The sequence below is a fragment of the Homo sapiens genome, chromosome 2, assembly GCF_000001405.40.
Source record: "Homo sapiens chromosome 2, GRCh38.p14 Primary Assembly".
Lineage (NCBI taxonomy): Eukaryota > Metazoa > Chordata > Mammalia > Primates > Hominidae > Homo > Homo sapiens.
Window position 1 is genome coordinate 74,256,199 of NC_000002.12, and position 18,658 is coordinate 74,274,856.

At 46.3% G+C, this 18,658-nt stretch overlaps 1 protein-coding gene across 3 annotated transcripts in view, besides 1 other annotated feature; it reads right to left on the reverse strand.

Moving 5' to 3' along the window:
• Positions 1–18,658, reverse strand: part of SLC4A5 (solute carrier family 4 member 5) — a 127,175-nt gene that overhangs the window by 39,957 nt on the left and 68,560 nt on the right. For all 3 annotated transcript variants that reach the window (NM_133478.3, NM_001386136.1, NM_021196.3), the window contains 4 exons: positions 8,906–9,066; positions 7,949–8,101; positions 5,939–6,034; positions 3,390–3,445 (listed from right to left, as the gene is read on the reverse strand). In NM_133478.3, the coding sequence (NP_597812.1) occupies positions 3,390–3,445; positions 5,939–6,034; positions 7,949–8,101; positions 8,906–9,066 (466 nt within the window). The remainder of the gene's footprint in view (positions 1–3,389; positions 3,446–5,938; positions 6,035–7,948; positions 8,102–8,905; positions 9,067–18,658) is intronic.
• Positions 10,985–11,064: an enhancer, noted in NCBI's record as "active region_16051". NCBI's record gives its function as "activates an Ori minimal core promoter by ATAC-STARR-seq in GM12878 lymphoblastoid cells {active_cell/tissue: GM12878}" and the evidence as "EXISTENCE:reporter gene assay evidence [ECO:0000049][PMID:35858748]".

An 18,658-nucleotide genomic window follows, 5' to 3' on the forward strand; every position in this document is an offset into this window, starting at 1 on the left:
TCCACTGAGATGTGGGTTGAGGGGTCAGAGAAGAGCCCCGGGGTTGCCGGACATCAGGCCTGGATGGCCTCCTTCAGGCTGAGCAGATGGGAGTCTCAGTGCTTCTACCTCAGCCACCCAGACCTCCCCTCTCCACCTTCACTTTTGGTAGCTGTGGGGAGGAGGAGGCCTGTTCTGATGGTCAGAGTAAACAGGCCTTATTTTCCCTTTGCCACCAGCTTCCTGGCTCACAGGAATTCCTGGACCAGTCTCCAAGTCTGTGGGAGACTTCCATGCCCCCACATTACCCCCAGGGGACCTCCCAAGGAAATTCATCACTTCTGGAATTTTCCAGCAGAGACTATCAAGGTGGCCTCTCTCCAGTCTCTCTGGCTAGTGTCACTTCATGGGAGGAAGGTCACACAGGCAGAGCCAGTGGGGTCTGATGTGAGAGGTACTGGAGACAAGCCCTCCACCCAAATGTATTCCCACTCTCTGCGTTTATAACTTCCTGAGTCCTCTTTTATGCTGAAGATACCCCAGGGATGGTTACTTTCAAGCTCTTCTTAGTCCTTAACGTCTTAGAATGAATTCCTTTTTCAGATTGCTTTCCCTCTGGGCAGCAAGGGCATGGACAGACAAGAGACAGAGATAATTTTGTCGGAAGATGGAGGGGAGCAGTTGGGGTAGCGGCAGGACTGGGTGCAGTCCACAGTCGCTGACACAGTGGGAAAGCGCCTGGGGGTAGAGGACAGCTCTGAAGAGAGCGCCTGTGAACATCACAATTTTCCTACCAATCCCCCTTCTACTGCAGTCTTTCCCGCGGGCACAGGCCTGTTTCTCACAGCCTCAGTGAAGACACAGCTTCCTTGTGCCTCTTCCTGTCCCTGTGGAGGGGTCAGCTATGGGCATGGATATGGTCAACAGGTCCTGCCATTTTGTCCCCACAGCTGTTTCCCAATTCGACTCATGTGGGGGCATCATACACACTGGGCTGGGTGGCCTACCAGCACGAGGAGGGGCTCGTGAGCAATGGCACTACCCTTATAATCGTTTAAATCCAATCAGACAAAAAAAAAATAACCCTCCACAACCACCTGGGCAACCATCAGCAGCCCCAAGGATCCTAACATAGTGAGAAAAAGCAGGAATTGACAGGAACACCGGAGTCCCCAAGACTCAAAAAGTCCCTTTGTCTCAGGCATGGTCAGCTGATTACTAAGCAGCGTTCTTCAGGGTGGAGGGCTGGGTGTAACAGGGCAGCCACCGTCTCCGAGCATCAGGCAGGGAGGGGGTCCAGGGAAGGGGAGGAGATACGGGCTGGGCAGGAGCACCCTGGAGAAAGAGGCTTCGGAAGCAGCAATGCTTCAGGGTGTCCCAACAAACCCACTTGTTTTTGTTGTTGTTTTGATTTGTTTTGAGACAAGAGTCTCACTCTGTCGTAAAGGCTGGAGTGCAGTGGCACCATCTTGGCTCACTGCAACCTCCTCCTCCTGGGTTCAAGCAGTTCTCGTGCCTGTCTGGCACATGCCTGGGACTACAGGCATGTGCCACCACGCCCGGCTAATTTTTGTATTTTTGATCGAGATAGGGTTTCTCCATGTTGGCCAGGCTGGTCTCAAACTCCTGGCCTCAATCCATCAGCCTCAGCCTCCCAAACTGCTGGAATTACAGGTGTGTGCCACCACACCTGGCCATCCAACCAACCCACTTGTAATACAGAAGATAAGAGAAATTTAACCAGGGAGTTGGTCCTTCCTTACACGTTGTGACATGTTTGGTAAGAAGGCCAGGGTTGTGGCATCCCAGAAATGGGAGCATGCTAGTGTTCCAACCAACCCTGGCTTGCCCAAAGCCTGGATGTGGGCTTGTATAACCAGGGCCCTGCTGACTCCACTTCCTGAACCCTTGGGGACTCCAATCTGGCTCTGCACTGCAGAGTCACTGCAGCACAACGATGCTGTCTGAATCTACTCTCTGTTCACTGGGAATCTGCCAGCTGAGGGCAGGCATGGAGTTTAGCTTTGCACAAATCAATGATGAAGAAAGAGCCTGCAGAGCAAATGCCTCTGGGCTTGCACCTGAAGAGCACCCAATAGCAGAGACCACTGATGCTGCAAATACCGAGAAGCAGCATCAAGTATCAGCAAGGAGAACCAGATGCTGGCGCTAGGTGATGGGTTCCAATCCCCAAATCAAGAAAGCACTGTCTGGTGAAAGGGACAGCTAGTGTTATTATTACCACTCACACATTCATTAAAACAGGTTATAAAAAACTTTTACTAGGTAATGCTTTCTTATCACAGTTGCACTGTCTGTATGCATGAGTAAAAGTGGTTTTCCTCTCCAAATAATGTTCCAGAATACTGACTAGTTCCTAAATTACTTCCAAGTTAAGGGCTCTGGAGTTAGACTGCCTAGGTCAAATCAAAGTTCTGTCTTTCAGCTGTATAGACTTTGGTGTGTTATTTAACTGCTGTAAGCCTCAGTGTTCTCTCATGAGTAAAATGGGAATGAAAATAGTGCCTTTGTGATTCACAGAAAATGCCTGGCACAGTGTAGTGCATGTGGTGTGGAGCTTAAATATTGATTGATTTTGTTACTGTTGTTATTAATTTATTTGTGCCCGGGACACTGACATGAGGGGCTGACTTTGTTTTTGCCTTCCACCAAACTTAGGGGTGGCTGGAAGGCCTGGAGGTCACCCAAGCTCCTGAAGGCTCCTCGCCAAGTCTCAGGTTTCCTTTGTCATCTTTCTTCCTACTCCTGGGGAGATAGACAAGGGGACCATGGGGCCTCCTGTCCTTGAGGTATGCAGGAGTTGGAATTAAGGGGGCCTCCTCTGGGCTTCCCCAAGGGGCACAGTCACAGGATTCTGGGGCTGTGGGCCTTAGAACTGGACCCAATTTGTTTGCAGAATTCTGATCTCATCACGAGGGTTTCAGCCCAGTTCATGGGAGACCACAGGAAGAAGATGCACTATTGGACAGTCTAATTAACTACCACTGTTCTCGCCACAGGGAGATTCTTTTCTGTCTCTCTGCCAGCCCCAGTCCCTATCCCATCTTTAAAGGTGCTTGTGGATCACAGGATAGATGAAGCCATGTGTGCTGGTCTTCTCTCTCCAACAAATCCCAAGCTCAAGGACAGCTGGCGCCTCATTTAATCATGTTCTCTGTCCCACACCCCCAGGGCCTGACACAGAGCCAGCACCTGGGACTCCGTCATTCCCCGACTACTGGCCTTGGCAAAGTCCCCCAGGCAGCCCAGAGTCCCCACTGGGGATCTTCCTGGAACTCCCACTCCTTTGTAGGAGTGGAACTCTGCCCATAGGGGATCCCTGCTCCTGAAACCAAAGACTTTTTCCTGCCCTGGCCCTCCATTGCAGCTAAGTGCAGGGGTTTTACTACCTGGTCTGTGTTTGGGGTGAGAGAAATGTCATTCATGCTTCTGCTCTGGGCATGACCTAGGAGAAAAGGAAAAGAAGATCCATCAGGGGAAGCCAGGCTCTTGCAGGTCCCTTTCCTATGGGCCCTACTCATGTACCTCTCCCATGTTCATAACCAAAGCAAACTCCCTCCCCCTTAATCCTGCAGTCCCCTTAAACTAGCATCCTCTCACTTTCCTTCTGTTCAATGGCTGCTTTCCTGAAAGAGGTGTTAGACTCCAGTTTCCACTGTTTCCTTCTCCCTCCTCAATCTACCACACTCTAGTCTCTACTCCTCCACCCCAACGTCTTGGATGTCACCAGGCTGTCTACTCTGGGTGTGGCTCTGCACCAGGCCCGGATAGGAGGAGGGACACAGACGCATTATTAGGTGAGGTTCCATGTGTCACTTAGCTTGGAATTTGCTGGAGGGGGAGCAGTTTCACCTCTGTCCTCCATGACCGGTGAGAGTCTTCAAACATGGGCTGGGGATTTAGGCTGGCAGAGGGAAGGAAGGTGGGCTTCCCATGAGAACAGTGATAGCCAATTATTTGAACTGCCCAATAGTTCCTTCCTCTGTTAAGAGAGAGAAAGCCAGCTCTCCTCTCCCACTAGCCCAATCTGGTGGACACCCTCAGACCTATCGTGTCTCGGCTATTGGCCTGTGCCACTCCTGGTGTCCAGAATGCTGCTCCTCTTGGCTCTCCTCCTCTCATTTCTGTCCCAGGATCCTCTCCTGCTTGGACATCCCAGGGCCTTGTCTTTGCTCTCATCCCCTCCAGGTGCCTCAGCCTCTCCGCTGGTCAATCGCTCCCACTCCTGTTGTTTCCAACACCCATTTGGGCTGAGGATGCCCAGGATGGATCTTTAGTCTGACTCCTCTTCTGAGCTGCAGACTCCTTGGAGCAGTCCCCTCTGGCACCTCAAATGCAACTCTTTACCTGCCCCCAAATCACTTTCCTCATGGACACATTCCACTCAATGCCCCTCCCTCCCATCCACCAGCCCTTTAGACAGAAATCTAGGAGCAGCCTTGGGCCCTCCCTCTTCCTCACCTCCTACTTCCCACCAGTACTTCAATTCCACCTCTGTCCCTTCCTCTCCATTCTGGAATGCAGGCTCAGTCTCTGCCTTCCAATGTTGCCCCTTCTAGATTATTCCTACTCAGACAGAAATCCGATCACAGCATGCTCCTGCTTCAAGCTTCCCAGGGGTTCCCATTATCTTCAGAATAAAACCCGGGTTCTTTTGCTGGGTGCACAAGGCCCTCTTTGATTTGACTCTCTCTTCCCTTTAACTCCTGCACTTCCTGTGAACTGGACTAATGTTTTTATTTTCATAGCTCCAGCTCCTTCTCTTCCATCCCCCAACCTCCTATTTGTTTTGTTTGTTTAGAACCCCCTCTTCCTCCTCCTTGCTCCTGGAAAACTTCTATTTATGCTCCAAGACTCAGTCAGTGTCTCCTCCTCTCTGATCCTTCCCCTGTGCGCTGTGTTCTGCATGCTGGGCCACCTCATGGCGGGTGCCCACCTTGAATATGACCTGGTTCACACAAAGCTGCAATCATCCATTCGTGCCTCTTGTCCCAGTGGTTCCCACCCCTAAGCAGTGTCAGTAGGGAGGTGACCTCATATACAATGATAACTGAGTGGAAGGTCTTCCCGAAGCCACTCTGTACCCACTGAACACTGCCACTGGGCATCCCTATGTGGCATAACAAAGCTGGGGAGACTAAGAGGACTTGGGTCATCAGGACAGAGAGAGAAGACTGCAGCAAATGCCTGCTGTGCCCAAGGCCACAGGCAGGGGCTGCATTGCCCCCAAGTCACTCCTTGGGCCTGGACAGGGGTACAGCACTGGGCTGAACTTGTTAACATCTTGGCATTTTAGTAAAAGTACCTGAAGGAAAATAGTCCTTCACTGCTTTTTCTTTTTCACTTCACTTTCTAAGTTCGCTCCTTTCTTTTCCCCAGCTCGCCTGTCTGTGTATCCCTGACGAGGTGCATGTAAAACCTGTCTGTCACCTCTCACCTCAAACCCACACCCCGCCCCCTACCAGCCATTCCCAGAAAAAAGGGGCCGTGACTCTGCCCACATTTCTTCTCCATGGTGGCATGAGACTGCCACCCAGTGATGGGAATGCTGCCTGACTGAACTGAAGGAAAGGACCTTGCCTGTTTTTGATTCCATTTCCAGGAAAGCTTTTCACCAAAAAACAGGGTTAATGTCAGTTTGATGAAGATGAAGGTACAGACTAAGATAAAAACACCTAGAATATGGGAGTGGGTATTGATTACACCAGGATGTGACTGACAGCCTCATTTTTCAGAGGAATGACTTGAATATTATGGTAGTAAATGAGGCCCTGAGAGCAGCCTGGGTTTAGAGTGAAAGTTAGGCTCCTCCTGATGCATGCCCTGAGAATTCTTGGCAGATCCTGGGCTTTGTCTCCCCCACCTATGGCAATGTGGCCATGTCACAGCTGCCACAGCCTGAATAAAGCTGCCACAGAGCGGCAGAGCACACACTCACACAGACGTCCGTAATTTGCACTCTGCCGCATCCGCAGGTCTTCCGTGGAGTGGTGTAGACTCGGGCCAGCACCAGGGCTCCGGGCAGGACTGCGATCTGGGAGGAGAATCAGAAGGGACTTGGCTTCGACAGCCTTGCTGGTGTAGCGAAGCCTCTTGGGTTAGTTCACTTTAACTAAATAAAACTGGGTGGCAAGACATGTCTCTTCCCCTTCTGGGAAGAAATTCTTTTTTTTTTTTTTTTTTTAATTTAAGCAAGTCAATAGTCTGAACAAGATTACAGGCTGGGCACGATGGCTCACGCCTGTAATCCCAGCACTTTGGGAGGCTGAGGTGGGTGGATGACCTGAGGTCAGGAGTTTGAGACCAGCCTGGCCAACATGGTGAAACCCTGTATCTACTAAAATACAAAAAATAGCCAGGCATGGTGGTGGGCACCTGTAATCCCAGCTACTTGGGAGGCTGAGGCAGGAGAATCACTTGAATCCAGGAGGCAGAGTTTGCAGTGAGCTGAGATCGCGCCATTGCACTCCAGCCTGGGTGACAGAGTGAGACTCCGTCTCAAAAAAAAAAAAAAGAACAAGATTAGAGAGAATATCTGTACTGTTGAAAGTGAGAGAGATACACAGTGCATTAAATGGGCACAAGGTGTAGTAGACTGCTTGGGTTCATCCCTGATTCCACCACTTAATGGCTTTGTGACCTTAGGCAAGTTACTTAAACTCTCTGTGCCTCAGGCGTCTCATCTGTAAAATGGAGACAAGAACCGTACCTACACGCCACAGCATTTTTGTGAGGATGAAGTGAGTTAAAACAGGAAGAGCACTCAGAATAGTGCCCAGAATGTAGTTAAGTGCTGAGTATGTATCTGTTGCTATTATGGTATGTTAAACACTTCCCGTTGTTTTGGGAGCGATTTTTTGAGACAAGGACTTGCTCTGTTGCCCAGGCTGGAGTGCAATGGCACGATCTCTGCTCACTGCAACCTCCGTCTCCTGGGTTCAAGCGATCCTCCCATCTCAGCCTCCTGATTAGCTGGGACTACAGGTGTGTGCCACCACACTTGGCTAATTTTTTGTAAGGCGGGGTTTATGCCATGGGGTTTAAGCCATGAGGTTTATGTATTTCTTGTAGAGATGGGGTTTATGCCATGTCACCCAGGCTGGTCGCAAACTCCTGAGCTCAAGCAATCCACCCACCTTGGACTCTCAAAGTGCTGGGATTACAGGTGTGGGCCACCATGTCCGGCCCACTTCCCATTTTTAAGTAATTCATTTAAAGAGGTTCCTCAATGTTTTTAATGTAGCAACTTTGCTCTGGTTACTGTGTTTGTCTGACAGGCTCAGTAGGGCTAGTGTCCCTGGGCATCTAGGCTGGGATACTGATAGTGGAATGTTGGAGATTTGAGATGTGTACATGCAACAAGCCACTCTCTCTAAATGGCCCCAGGTCCTGCTAATCAGAGTGACATCAGCCACCAGATCTACAAGCCCTGGCACTCTTGAGATAAGCCCAGCCCCTTCTACCACCCTGATGTGTTCCATTTTCTGCTGAGGCTCTTGACCTCTCTAGGGGGTTTGATGTGAAACTTTTGGGTCCTTTCCATAGCAAGCCATCTCTACCAGCATTTCCCAATGCTGTGTGACATAAGAATCTCTTGGGGTGCATTCTAACTTCTCTTTTTCTAGGCCATACCCCAGAACAATTGACTCCAACTCTCCAAGGTGGGGCCCAGGCATTAGGACACATCTCAAGCCCCAAAGTGATCTGCCACATGCAGCCCTGGCTGGGAACCAACTCTCTCCCTAGAAATTGTTCTGCTCTGGTGGTGGGAACAACACGGGAGTGTGGCTGGGGTCCCCACAGGCCTGCCAGAGAAGGAGGCTGAGGGATCCCCAGAACATCAGAATTTCTCCAGAAACTCCCAGCCCCTAAGGTGGGCTCACCCGGGTACCAGGGCCTGATACTGGCCCTGCATGTCCCATGCCTACCAGCGTAAGGCCTGACTCACTTGTGGTGGAGACTGACTTCCCAATGTCAGCTAAGGAGCGGTGGATGGGCTTCTTGGTTTGGTGGCGGTGCCTCCTCAGGAGGACGTAACTGACCCTCTCCCGGAGCTCTGGCCGCAGGAGACCATCCTCAATCTGCTTCTCAATGACATCATCTGTGTGGAAAACATACACACCTCATCCCTGTGGGACAGAACAGCTCCAGGGTATGGAAGTCTTCAGTTTCACCTGTTATTAGTGGGATTAAATGTGGCAGAGGGGGTGTGGAAGTACTCCTGGCTTTGCCACTAGCTGTGGAAAACTGGGCACATCACCAACTCTTGGCCTCCTCCTGTTCAAGGGCACGTGTGTGTGTGTGTGTGTGTGTGTGTGTGTGTCTGCTCTTTCTGTCAATGTTCTTATGAAAAGTGAAATAAACAGTACATATGAAACTGCCCCAGGAGGCACAAAAGTACTGTGTTCAATGGTTTTAGTCCTAAAATGAACTCTTTTTAGAAAAGTATTTTGGGCAAAATACTTCTGGCAAAATCCAATGTGCTAGAACAAAACTCACAAAAATTTTTAGGGGTGTTAAGGCAAGCCAACTCCTCCCTTCGACACACCACTAAATGACAGCTAATTTCCTAAAGATGAATGATGACCCATTTTACCCTGAAAAGAAACAGGTTGTCATGGCAAGAGGTATCTCTGACTATGCAAGAGGCCCTCTCCCCTTTTACCACATTTCTGGATGGCATTTTGGAGGATGGTCTTTTCCTCTCTACTGGAGGTCTACATGGTACTGAAACTTGGAGTGACTATGATCCTGCCCTGGGAGCAACAGAGTCAAAGCTGGTCTCTGCAGAATCAGGTGTCAGAGACGGGCCGTCACACAGACTTGAGGGCAGGCATGAGGTCAGGGGAGCTGCCCTGGTTTGCAGGGACCACAGGAGAGATGCACACAGTGGCCCCTGCCTCACCTATGATCTGTGGTAAGGAGCCACTGTCCAAATCCAGCAGCACCGTCCCCGTCTGCAGGCAGGTACGGAGCTCGAAGAGGCTGTGCAGGGATAGTGTGGACACGTGGGGCTTGCTCCAGCGTTCGCCGCCTTCCTCTACCTTTTCTTCAAACTTTATCCACCTGGAAGGGTAAGGATGGGGCTCAGTGTGGCCAGGGCCCTCAGGAGGAGGCCTCACCTGGGTCTCCCCAAAAGAGGGGTGTCATGTGGGTTCATGCTATGTATGTGGTTGTGGTGTTGGTCCCAGACTCACAGGCAGAGGATCTCTTGGGGATCCCCTCATTTGTCCCCCACTCCTCCTGATACTGTCATGTGAAGGAAAGTGGCATCCAGAGAAGTATACAGGGGCATGAGGGATCTTCTGGGAGTGATGGAAATGTTCTAAAATTGGATTATGGTGACAGTTGCACAATTCCATACATTTTCTAAAAATCATTTACCAGTACACTTACAATTAGAGAATTTTAAGTTATTCTAGAACAATAAAGCTGTTTTTTTAAAAAGCCTCAACTGGAACCTGATTATCTCAGGCTGTTCACACATGAGTGTTCAGTGTGGTTTGCTGGGAGCAGGAAAAATGTTCCCTGACGAAAAGTATTTCTCCCTGAGTTCCCCTGCAAGGTCTGAGGTTTCCATGCTTTTCACTCTTTTTGCCTCTGAAAGTTCAGGTAAAAATTCACATGCCATCCAGGGAAGGAAAGAAATTAAACCAAGGATGTGTAGGGATCTGTCCTTTCTAGAAGACTTGGAATCATGGGCTGGGTGTTCAAGTAGAAAGGCCTCAGATAGTGCCAGGGGAGCAAGGAGTCCTGGCCGGAGACACCTAGCTCCCCTTTGTAAGATGTCAACCACAAATGCATGGGTAGCTCCAATCTATTGCAACTGAAATCCCAAGGGAGGACTTTTGGACCATGACTATCTAATTCTAAAGTTCCTCTAAAAAAGGTAAATGTAGGAGAATGGTGAGGAAAGTTCAAAAATGAAGAGAAATGGGGATGGGGCATGCCTTAGCACATATAGAAACTTGCGGAGAAGCTTCAGTAATTAAAGCGGTGTGATTCCAGGCCAGATATAGACAAGGGATCAGTGGCACAAGAGTCCAGAAACAGACCTGTATATCCATGGGAATTCAGGTTTTTTGTTGGTTTTTTTGAGACAGAGTCTCCCCCAGGCTGGAGTGCAGTGGCATGATTTTGGCTCACTGCAGCCTCGACCACCTGTGCTCAGGTGATCTTCCCAACTCAGCCTCCCAAGTAGCTGGGACTACATGCATGCACCATCACGCTTGGCTAATTTTTGTATTTTTTGTAGAGATGGGGTTTCATCATGTTGCCCAGGCTGGTCTCGAACTCCTGGGCTTAAGTGATCAGCCCACCTTGGCCTCCCAAAGTTCTAGAATCACAGTCGTGAGCCACCACGCCCAGTCACGGAATTAGGATTTTGATGAAGGAGTTGTTTAAAAGACAACCAACCTAAAAATAGAAAGTTAAATCCCTACTTTTCACCAAACACAATACTAAATTCTTCATAGATTAAAGTCTAAAGATAAAAATAAATCTATAAGCAAAAATGCAAATATACTAGAAGAGAATATAGGAGAGTATTCTTATATTCTTGGAGAATATTGTGGAGAAAGACTTCCTAAACAAGGTATAAAACCATAAAGGAAAAAAATGGACAGATTTGATTGCACAAAACTAAAATAAATGAAAACTTCTATATAGTAAAATAACATATAAATCAAGTTCAAAGAAAAGTAATGTACTGAGAAAAATATCTGCAACAAAGAAAGCATCAAAATACTAATATTTATAACAATGCTCCTTTGAATTAATAAGAAATTAACCAATTAACTCAAATTATCCAATAGAAAGTAAACAATCCTGAGAAGAAATGAAGATGGCCAATAAACATATGAAAAGATGCTCAACCTTACCAGTAATCATGGACTTTTAAATTACTACAAATGAAATAACATTCTTCATTTTTTAATACTGGCAAAAGTTAAAAAGATTGACAACTTCCTGTGTCAGTGAAAACATGGGGAGGTGGCCTCTCATCTGCTGCAGGTGTAATGACACAGCCTTCCTGGTGTGGGCAGCCTGTTTCAACATTCAGTGTGCATGCCTTTTGACCCAGTGGTTCGATTTCTAGGAAACGATCACAGGAATATAATTACACTGCCACACCCTGTAATATGTATACAAGGACGCTCGATGAAGCTTTGTCTGTTAGGCCAAAGAACTGGAAACCACCAGGTTTTCAGTAGAAGCATGATTACATCAATTCTGTATGTCCATGTTGTGGAATATCCCCCAGAAATAAATAAAAAATATGTGGGTGAACTCACATACTGACAGGACGGACACTACCATCCCATTTTATAAAAAAGAAAAACACACTTGTGTGTGTGCACACATGTGTCTGGAGAAAGCAAAAGTTTTGGAGGGATCCATGTCAAATGGTTAACAATGATTACTTTGAGCAGAGGAGTAGGATTGTTGTTGGGGCGGGATTTAAGACTTTCACTTTATTGGGGCGAATTAGTGTAGCAAGAGTGCAGTCTGGTTAGGCTGGGTGAGGTGGCTCACGCCTGTGATTCCAGCACTTTGGGAGGCCCAGGTGGGTGGATCGCCTGTGCTCAGGAGTTTGAGACCAGCCTGGGCAACATGGTGAAACCCTGACTCTACCAAAAAACCCAAAAAATTAGCTGGGCATGGTGGCACACAGCTGTGGTCCCAGCTTCTTGGGAGGATCACTTGAGCCTGGAAGGCAGAGGTTGCAGTGAGCCGAGATGGCACCACTGCACTCCAGCCTGGGTAACAGAGTGAGAGTCCGTCTACATTTTTTTTTTTTTTAAAAAAGAGCACAGTCTATGAAGCAACACTATTAGGTTTTGAATAACAGCTCCATCATTTACTAGCTGAAAATCTCGAGTAAGTTACTTAATCTCTCATCACCTTTGATTTCTTCAGTAATAATAATAATGTACAGCAATTAGAGCAGTGCCTAGCACACAAGATACACTCTGTTAATGTTAGCTATTAAGTTAAAAATAAAGAATATTACTTTTGTAATTTTAGGAACAATAAAAAAAGAAGAAAGCAAAGTCATTCAAAGCTCCTCCAACCAGGAGGCATCATGCTGATGTCTTGATGGTTGATATTTTGGTAACTGCCATTCTAGATCTCCTCGTGCATGCATGCACATATGCCTGTGTTTGCATTAACTGTACATTAATGGCACCACAAGGACCTTAAGGGTATAGTATCTAATGGACATCCTTTCATCTCTATTAGTATTAACATCATTCTGAAGTCCTTCTAGTATTCCACTGTCTGAATGTACCATAATTGATAGGAACAGTTCTCAACTGGTAGACATTCAGATTATTTCTAATTATTCTTTATTATTAATTAAGGCTGGTTGGAACATCCTTGGTTCCTGCTCCACAATTTCTTTAGGATAAACTCTCAGAAGTGGAATTACTGTGTCTGCACATTTTTACATTTATAACAAGCATTACCAAACTGTTTTCCAGAAAGCTTATGTCAGTGCCCACTGCCACCAATGAGATCTTACATTTCCCTAAAGTCTCCCAGACTTTGGTATTTTCATTCTTTTTCACCTTTGTTCATTTGGTAGTTGAAAAATTATCTCACATTTGCACTCTTCTGATTACTAGTGAGATTGAACATCTTTTCCTTCATCAGATTTCCTCTTCACGTAACTGTATATTTTGCATTATCTATGTTTAACACCTTCATTCCATACATTTATTTGAGACAAGTTAACCAGGCACCTGGTGGGATCCTGGGGAATCAGATGGACACAGAATGGGGAGATCTAATTAGAGAAGGACTGGGAGGTGAAGACCTGAAACATGGGGGCTGGAGCCAGAGACCAGGCAGACAAGTTGTAGCTGACCTTTTTGTGGAGAAATCTGTTTGGGAAATATCATTTAAATTATGGCAGATCCAAGACTATGTGATATCGAAAGTAAGATGTTTCTAAAAGGTATATTAACATAAGAGTTTACAAGGAATAGACCAAAGGATAAGTTCAAAATTTTTTTTTTTTTGAGACGGAGTTTCACTCTCATCGCCCAGGCTGGAGTGCAATGGTGCAAGCTTGGCTCACTGCAACCTCTGCCTCCGTGGTTCAAGTGATCTCCTGTTTCAGCCTCCTGAGTAGCTGGGATTACAGGTGCCTGCCACCAGGCCCGGCTGTTTGTTTTTTGTTTGTTTGTTTGTTTGTTTGTTTGTTTTTTAGTAGAGACAGGGTTTCATTATGTTGGTCAGGCTGGTCTCAAATTCCTGACCTCAGGTGGTCCACCCACCTCCGCCTCTAAAAGTGCTGGGATTACAGGCGTGAGCCACCGCGCCCGGCCAGTCCAAATGTTTTAGTTGAGAGGATGCTCAACTTTTCTTCCTGAGGATCGACCTCCTATTCAGCTTGCCTTTTATTGTTTTTTTTTTCTCAAAAATAATACAAAAGATAAACTGAACTGTCACCCTGCTCCCAAAGACTCTTTTGCTACTCCATGGTCTTACCCACCCACCTAAAGGTGTGATGTGGCCCAGTGCATGGGGCCAGTTGAGTGGGTTGCTGTCTTCACTGTCTCACAAACATCCTAGGCCAGACAGTCTCAGGCAGCTCTCTCCCCTGACATCCCATTCTTCAGTCTTCTGCCCATACAAATGCAACTCCACCTGAAGGAGTGATAAGAGCAATGCTTCCTCTTTGAAACATCCTCTACTAACTCCAGATAGCAGATAGCAAAGACATGCAGTCCTCTCCACCTCTCAGGACTTCAACTATTTGTACTGTGTTAGGCATACACCAAACATTAACCCCATAGACACACAGACAAGGGCGATAACCCACATGAGAATAGCCTGCATAAACACTAAATTACTTGTCTCCAATTTTAAGCCAATGCCAGAACTAGACTCTGCTACCAGAATCCAGAAAATTTGATTTAAGAAATTCCGGAATATGAGACCATTTAACTAGGGACACCGCTCTAGTCCCCTCTATAACTATTTTGGGAATCCAGATGTTGAACCATTAAGCTTGCTACCTGGAACTTAATTTTGTGTTTTCAATGGCTACAGCTAGAAATTTAGCTCACTTTCACCTTGAATGGAAAAGGAAACATGGAGGACCAAAGATCCATAGCAATGGTTTTCAACCTTGGCTGTCCATTAGAATAACTTGGAGAGATTTATAAAAATACCAATGCCTGGGGCTGGGCGCGGTGGCTCATGCCTGTAATCCCAGCACTTTGGGAGGCAGAGGCAGGCGGATCACGAGGTCAGGAGATCGAGACCATCCTGGCTAACATGGTGAAACCCTGTCTCTACTAAAAATACAAAAAATTAGCCAGGCGTGGTGGCAGGCGCTTGTAGTCCCAGCTACTCAGGAGGCTGAGGCAGGAGAATGGCGTGAACCCGGGAGGCGGAGCTTGCAGTGAGCAGAGATCATGCCACTGCACTCCAACCTGGATGACAGAGCGAGACTCCGTCTCAAAACAAAACAAAACAAAACAAAAACCAATGCCTGGATGGTTACCCCACCAGGAGGGTGACCCTGCCATGGAAACTCCCGGGTTATCTGACTGCACCCTGTGGGTTCAGGAGCCCCTGCTCTGTAGGTACATAGAATGGTGTGACTTAGGGATAGTTCAACTTATATGGGGTCCCAACGCAGGCAAACGTAGCTCACATGGATCTGATTCTCATTATACAGCAGGACATGGCCTCTTTCCCTTAGAATGGCTCCAAGAACACTAGCTGAAAGGGTCTCCTTTCTAGCACAGTCATGCTATGCTTTAGTTTCTCTGATTTTATAACTGAAGTCCATTTACAGTACATATTCTACTACACCAGTGTGCCTCAAACTCTAATGTGCATGGGGATCTTGTCAAAATGCAGATCCTCATTGAGCAGGTCTGGAATGAGGTCAAAGATTCTACATTTCTAATAAGCTCCTAGGTGTGCTCATGCTGCTGGTCTGCAGATCACCTCTGAGATCATGTAGAATGTCCTCTTTCCTCTCTGTTTTCCACTGCCCAGCGAGAATGCCCCTTCCTCCACAAAGCCTCTGCCAGTTATTCTGCTTATTTCTCCTATAACACCCTAGGATGGTTCTCAACCTGAAGCACTTTAGAAACCACTGTTCTAGGACAGTGATTCTTAAGCTTGCTTGCATATAAGAATACCCTAGATGCCTTTAAAATCTTCATGTCTCAGTCATATCCTAGACCAGTTGACATCAGAATAAAAACGGGTGGGATCCAGGCAACTCTGTGCTCCAGACTATCCTAGGTAAAGTTTCTAACTTCTTAGGCTCAGAGCCTAAAATAATTAATTAATTCAGGCTCAGTGCCTAAATTAATAATTAATTGTAGCCAATCATGTTTTATGATTGTTTTGGTATATAACAAATGCCAAATATACATTAAGCTTTTTGAAGACAGGTGCCATTTCTTCCTCTCTGGTGTCCCCTTATGGTCTCCTGCCCAGATCAATTGCATTAAATGCTTGCTCCCTTCTGCTTGAGGGTAGCAAGACCTCACTGATCACTTTGGGTGAGATCTCGCTATGAGGAAATGACTGGGGAAAAAAAGCTTAAAACTCATTTTGTTTAAGTATATTTAAAAATACTCAGAAGCCGGGCATGGTGGCTCACACTTGTAATCCCAGCGCTCTGGGAGGCTGAGGTGGGAGGATTGCTTGAGACCTGCCTGAGAAACAAAGCAAGACTCCACTATACAAAAAATAAAATAATTAGCCAGGTGTGGTGGCATATGCCTGTAGTCCCAGCTACTCAGGAGGCTGAGGTAGGAGGATTAAGTCCAGGAGTTTGAGGCTGCAGTGAGCTGTGATCGCACCACTGCAATGAAGCTGAAGTGACAGAGAAAGACCCTATCTCTAAAAAGAAAGAAAGAGGCCTTATCTTTTAGAGACATAATGAAATATTTACAGATGGAATGATGTGGTGTCTGGGATTTGTGTCAACCTGACCTAGCATGTGTGTCTGTGTGTCTGGGGTAGTAGGTGGGGGACAGAGAAACAAGAATTGCTATGAGTTAGCTGTTAACTGTTGAAGCTGGGTGATGGGCAGGTGGGGGTTCATTCTGCTATATACTACTTTTGTATAAATTTGAATTTTCCATAATAAAATCCTTAAACATTCTCCAGAATGAATAAAGGAATGGCCTCTGTAAAAAGCCTCTGGTCAAAGCCAAGTTTAAAAACTTGCAAAAGCCTGATAATAAGGTTCATGTGTAATCCCAAACAACTCATTGCAAAGTGAACTGTGTACCATGGTTGGCTTCAAAAAGTGGGGTATTAGAGTTGGGGAAGCAGGTCAAGTGGAAAGAAAATCTCCACGTTCTCCTTCATTATCCAGCAAAGCTTTAACTTTTAGGGATTTTGCCCAAGCTTGGGTGTAGACCCCCAACTCTGCATGCCAGGGTGGGCACCAGGTGCCCCGCTCCTGACTGGAATGTAGCTAAAAGGAACCTTGAAATGTCACTTGTCACAGAAAGCAGCTCTCTGTCACACAAAGCAGGGCCAGAACTGAGGCCTTTTCTGTGCCTAGTAACTCGGTCAGAGATATAATTAGAGGACATTGCTGTTCAATTAATAACAAGAGCAGGAGAAAGCATCATGGCGCTAGCTACCAGGTACAGTCAAGGCTTCCAATGCTCAAACCACAGGATGGGAGAAGAGGAGGTTCTCCTTCAAGGAGGATCTGGAAAGGGCTGAAAACCAAGAGACCTCTATTCTAGTTGTCTCCTCAGATGGAAACTTCGTAACTCCCACTGATCCTGCTGGGCTAGAGTAAGTATCAGCAGTTTTCAATGGCTGCATTAGGATCATCTGGGAGCTTTTTACAAATTCTAAAACCCAGGCTGAATCTCAGACTAATTACATCAGAATCTCAGGGGACTGACAATCAGACATCAATATTTTTTAAAAGGAAGACACAGATCCTTGAGATGATAAAACAACAGGCTGCCCATTATGTGTAGTTAGATAAGAGTAAAATCTGGAGAATATACATAAACATTGTGATTGAAGAGAAGCTTCTATCTATACTATTTTGAATATCATTATAATTAAATAGTGTCTTGGTTAGTTTGTTTGCAAAATCCCCCCTAGGACATTCTAATTTAAAAAATGTAATCTCCCAATGTATGTAACCTTTAATGCTAAGGCTATGTTGCCTCCAAACATTTGTTTTAAGAATTACATTTGTGTGAATTTGTTTCTTTCATGAAGTTTACTCAGCTAAAATTTGTAAAGTATATATCCCTGTGGTCACTCTATCTATGTGGCCTCACCAACTTTATTCTGTAACTCTCCCACCCCGCCCCATTACCCAAAAGCTTGACTTCTGTGTATTAGTTACAAAGCATCAAGACATGTTTGTGCTTTCTGCCTAAGGCCTGTAATACATTTTGTAACTCCAACAAATTCATTTCTTAAAAGTAAGAAATGTAAGTTTTCCTTCAATATCCAGCAAAGTTTTTTAACTTCATATGAGTCATATCAGGATACTGAATTTCCCAACAGATACTGAAGACCAGTATTAATTCACTTAGAAGCCCGTTAAGAATTTTCCTAGAGATGTCTGAGGAATCATCAGATACTCCCCTGGTTCAGTCTTTGACAGAGGCACTAAAAAATGATCTGTGGAAGGAAGATTTTTCAAAAGGGGAACACCTGAGGCCGGGCCTGGTGGCTCACGCCTATAATCCCAGCACTTTGGGAGGCCAAGGCAGGCAGATCCCTTGAGGTCAGGAGTTTTGAGACCAGCCTGGCCAACATGGCAAAACCCTGTCTGTACTAAAAATACAAAGATTAGCCAGGCGTGGTTGTGCATGCCTGTAATCCCAGCTACTCCCAGCCAAGCACTATGCTAAGCACTTAACATGTATTATCTCATCTAATCCTTAAATCTATCTCACGAGGTAGGTCTGTGACTATTCTCATTGTACAGGTGAGGAGACTGAGACCCTTAGAGGATGAGGAGCCTGCCCAAGGTGGCTGAGGCAGGAGAATCACTTGAGCCCAGCAGGCGGAAGTTACAGTGAGCTGAGATGGTGCCACTGCACTCTAGCCTGGGCAACAGAGCAAGACTCTGTCTCAAAAAAACGGGAGAAACACCTAAGCAAATTCTGGCCCATTCTTACAATTTATTTGGCTAATTCATGCTACATAAAATCACATGCATGAAAATATGTATGTGAGATAGTACAACAAGTTGTTTCTACAACGGATTATGACTTTGCATACCATGTATATGTTAATAAACCAAACTTGGCAGTAAATTTGAAAGATTATAAAGTATAAAAGACTGAGGGGGCAGGCATGGGTCAAGGGTCAGCACACATATGGAGAAGTTCAGAAGCTACCAGAAGGGGCTGATGAGCACCAGAAAGGCCTCACAGGCCTCTTGGGGCACCCACCCCGGTCCAGGCTCAGAAATTTTATCTTTTTAGTGTCCCAAAGATGATTAGGTCCAGTGACACTGTCTAATGCTAACCAAGATCACAAAGGCTGATGCATAAACCTGAAGGCCAATTTATTTAATTTACAGTGAGATTTACAATCGTTATAGGGGTTTGTTATGTTCATCCTCTAGCCTTTGCATTCTCTCCTCATGGGCAGATATACAGGGTAAGCCAAATTATCACCAAAA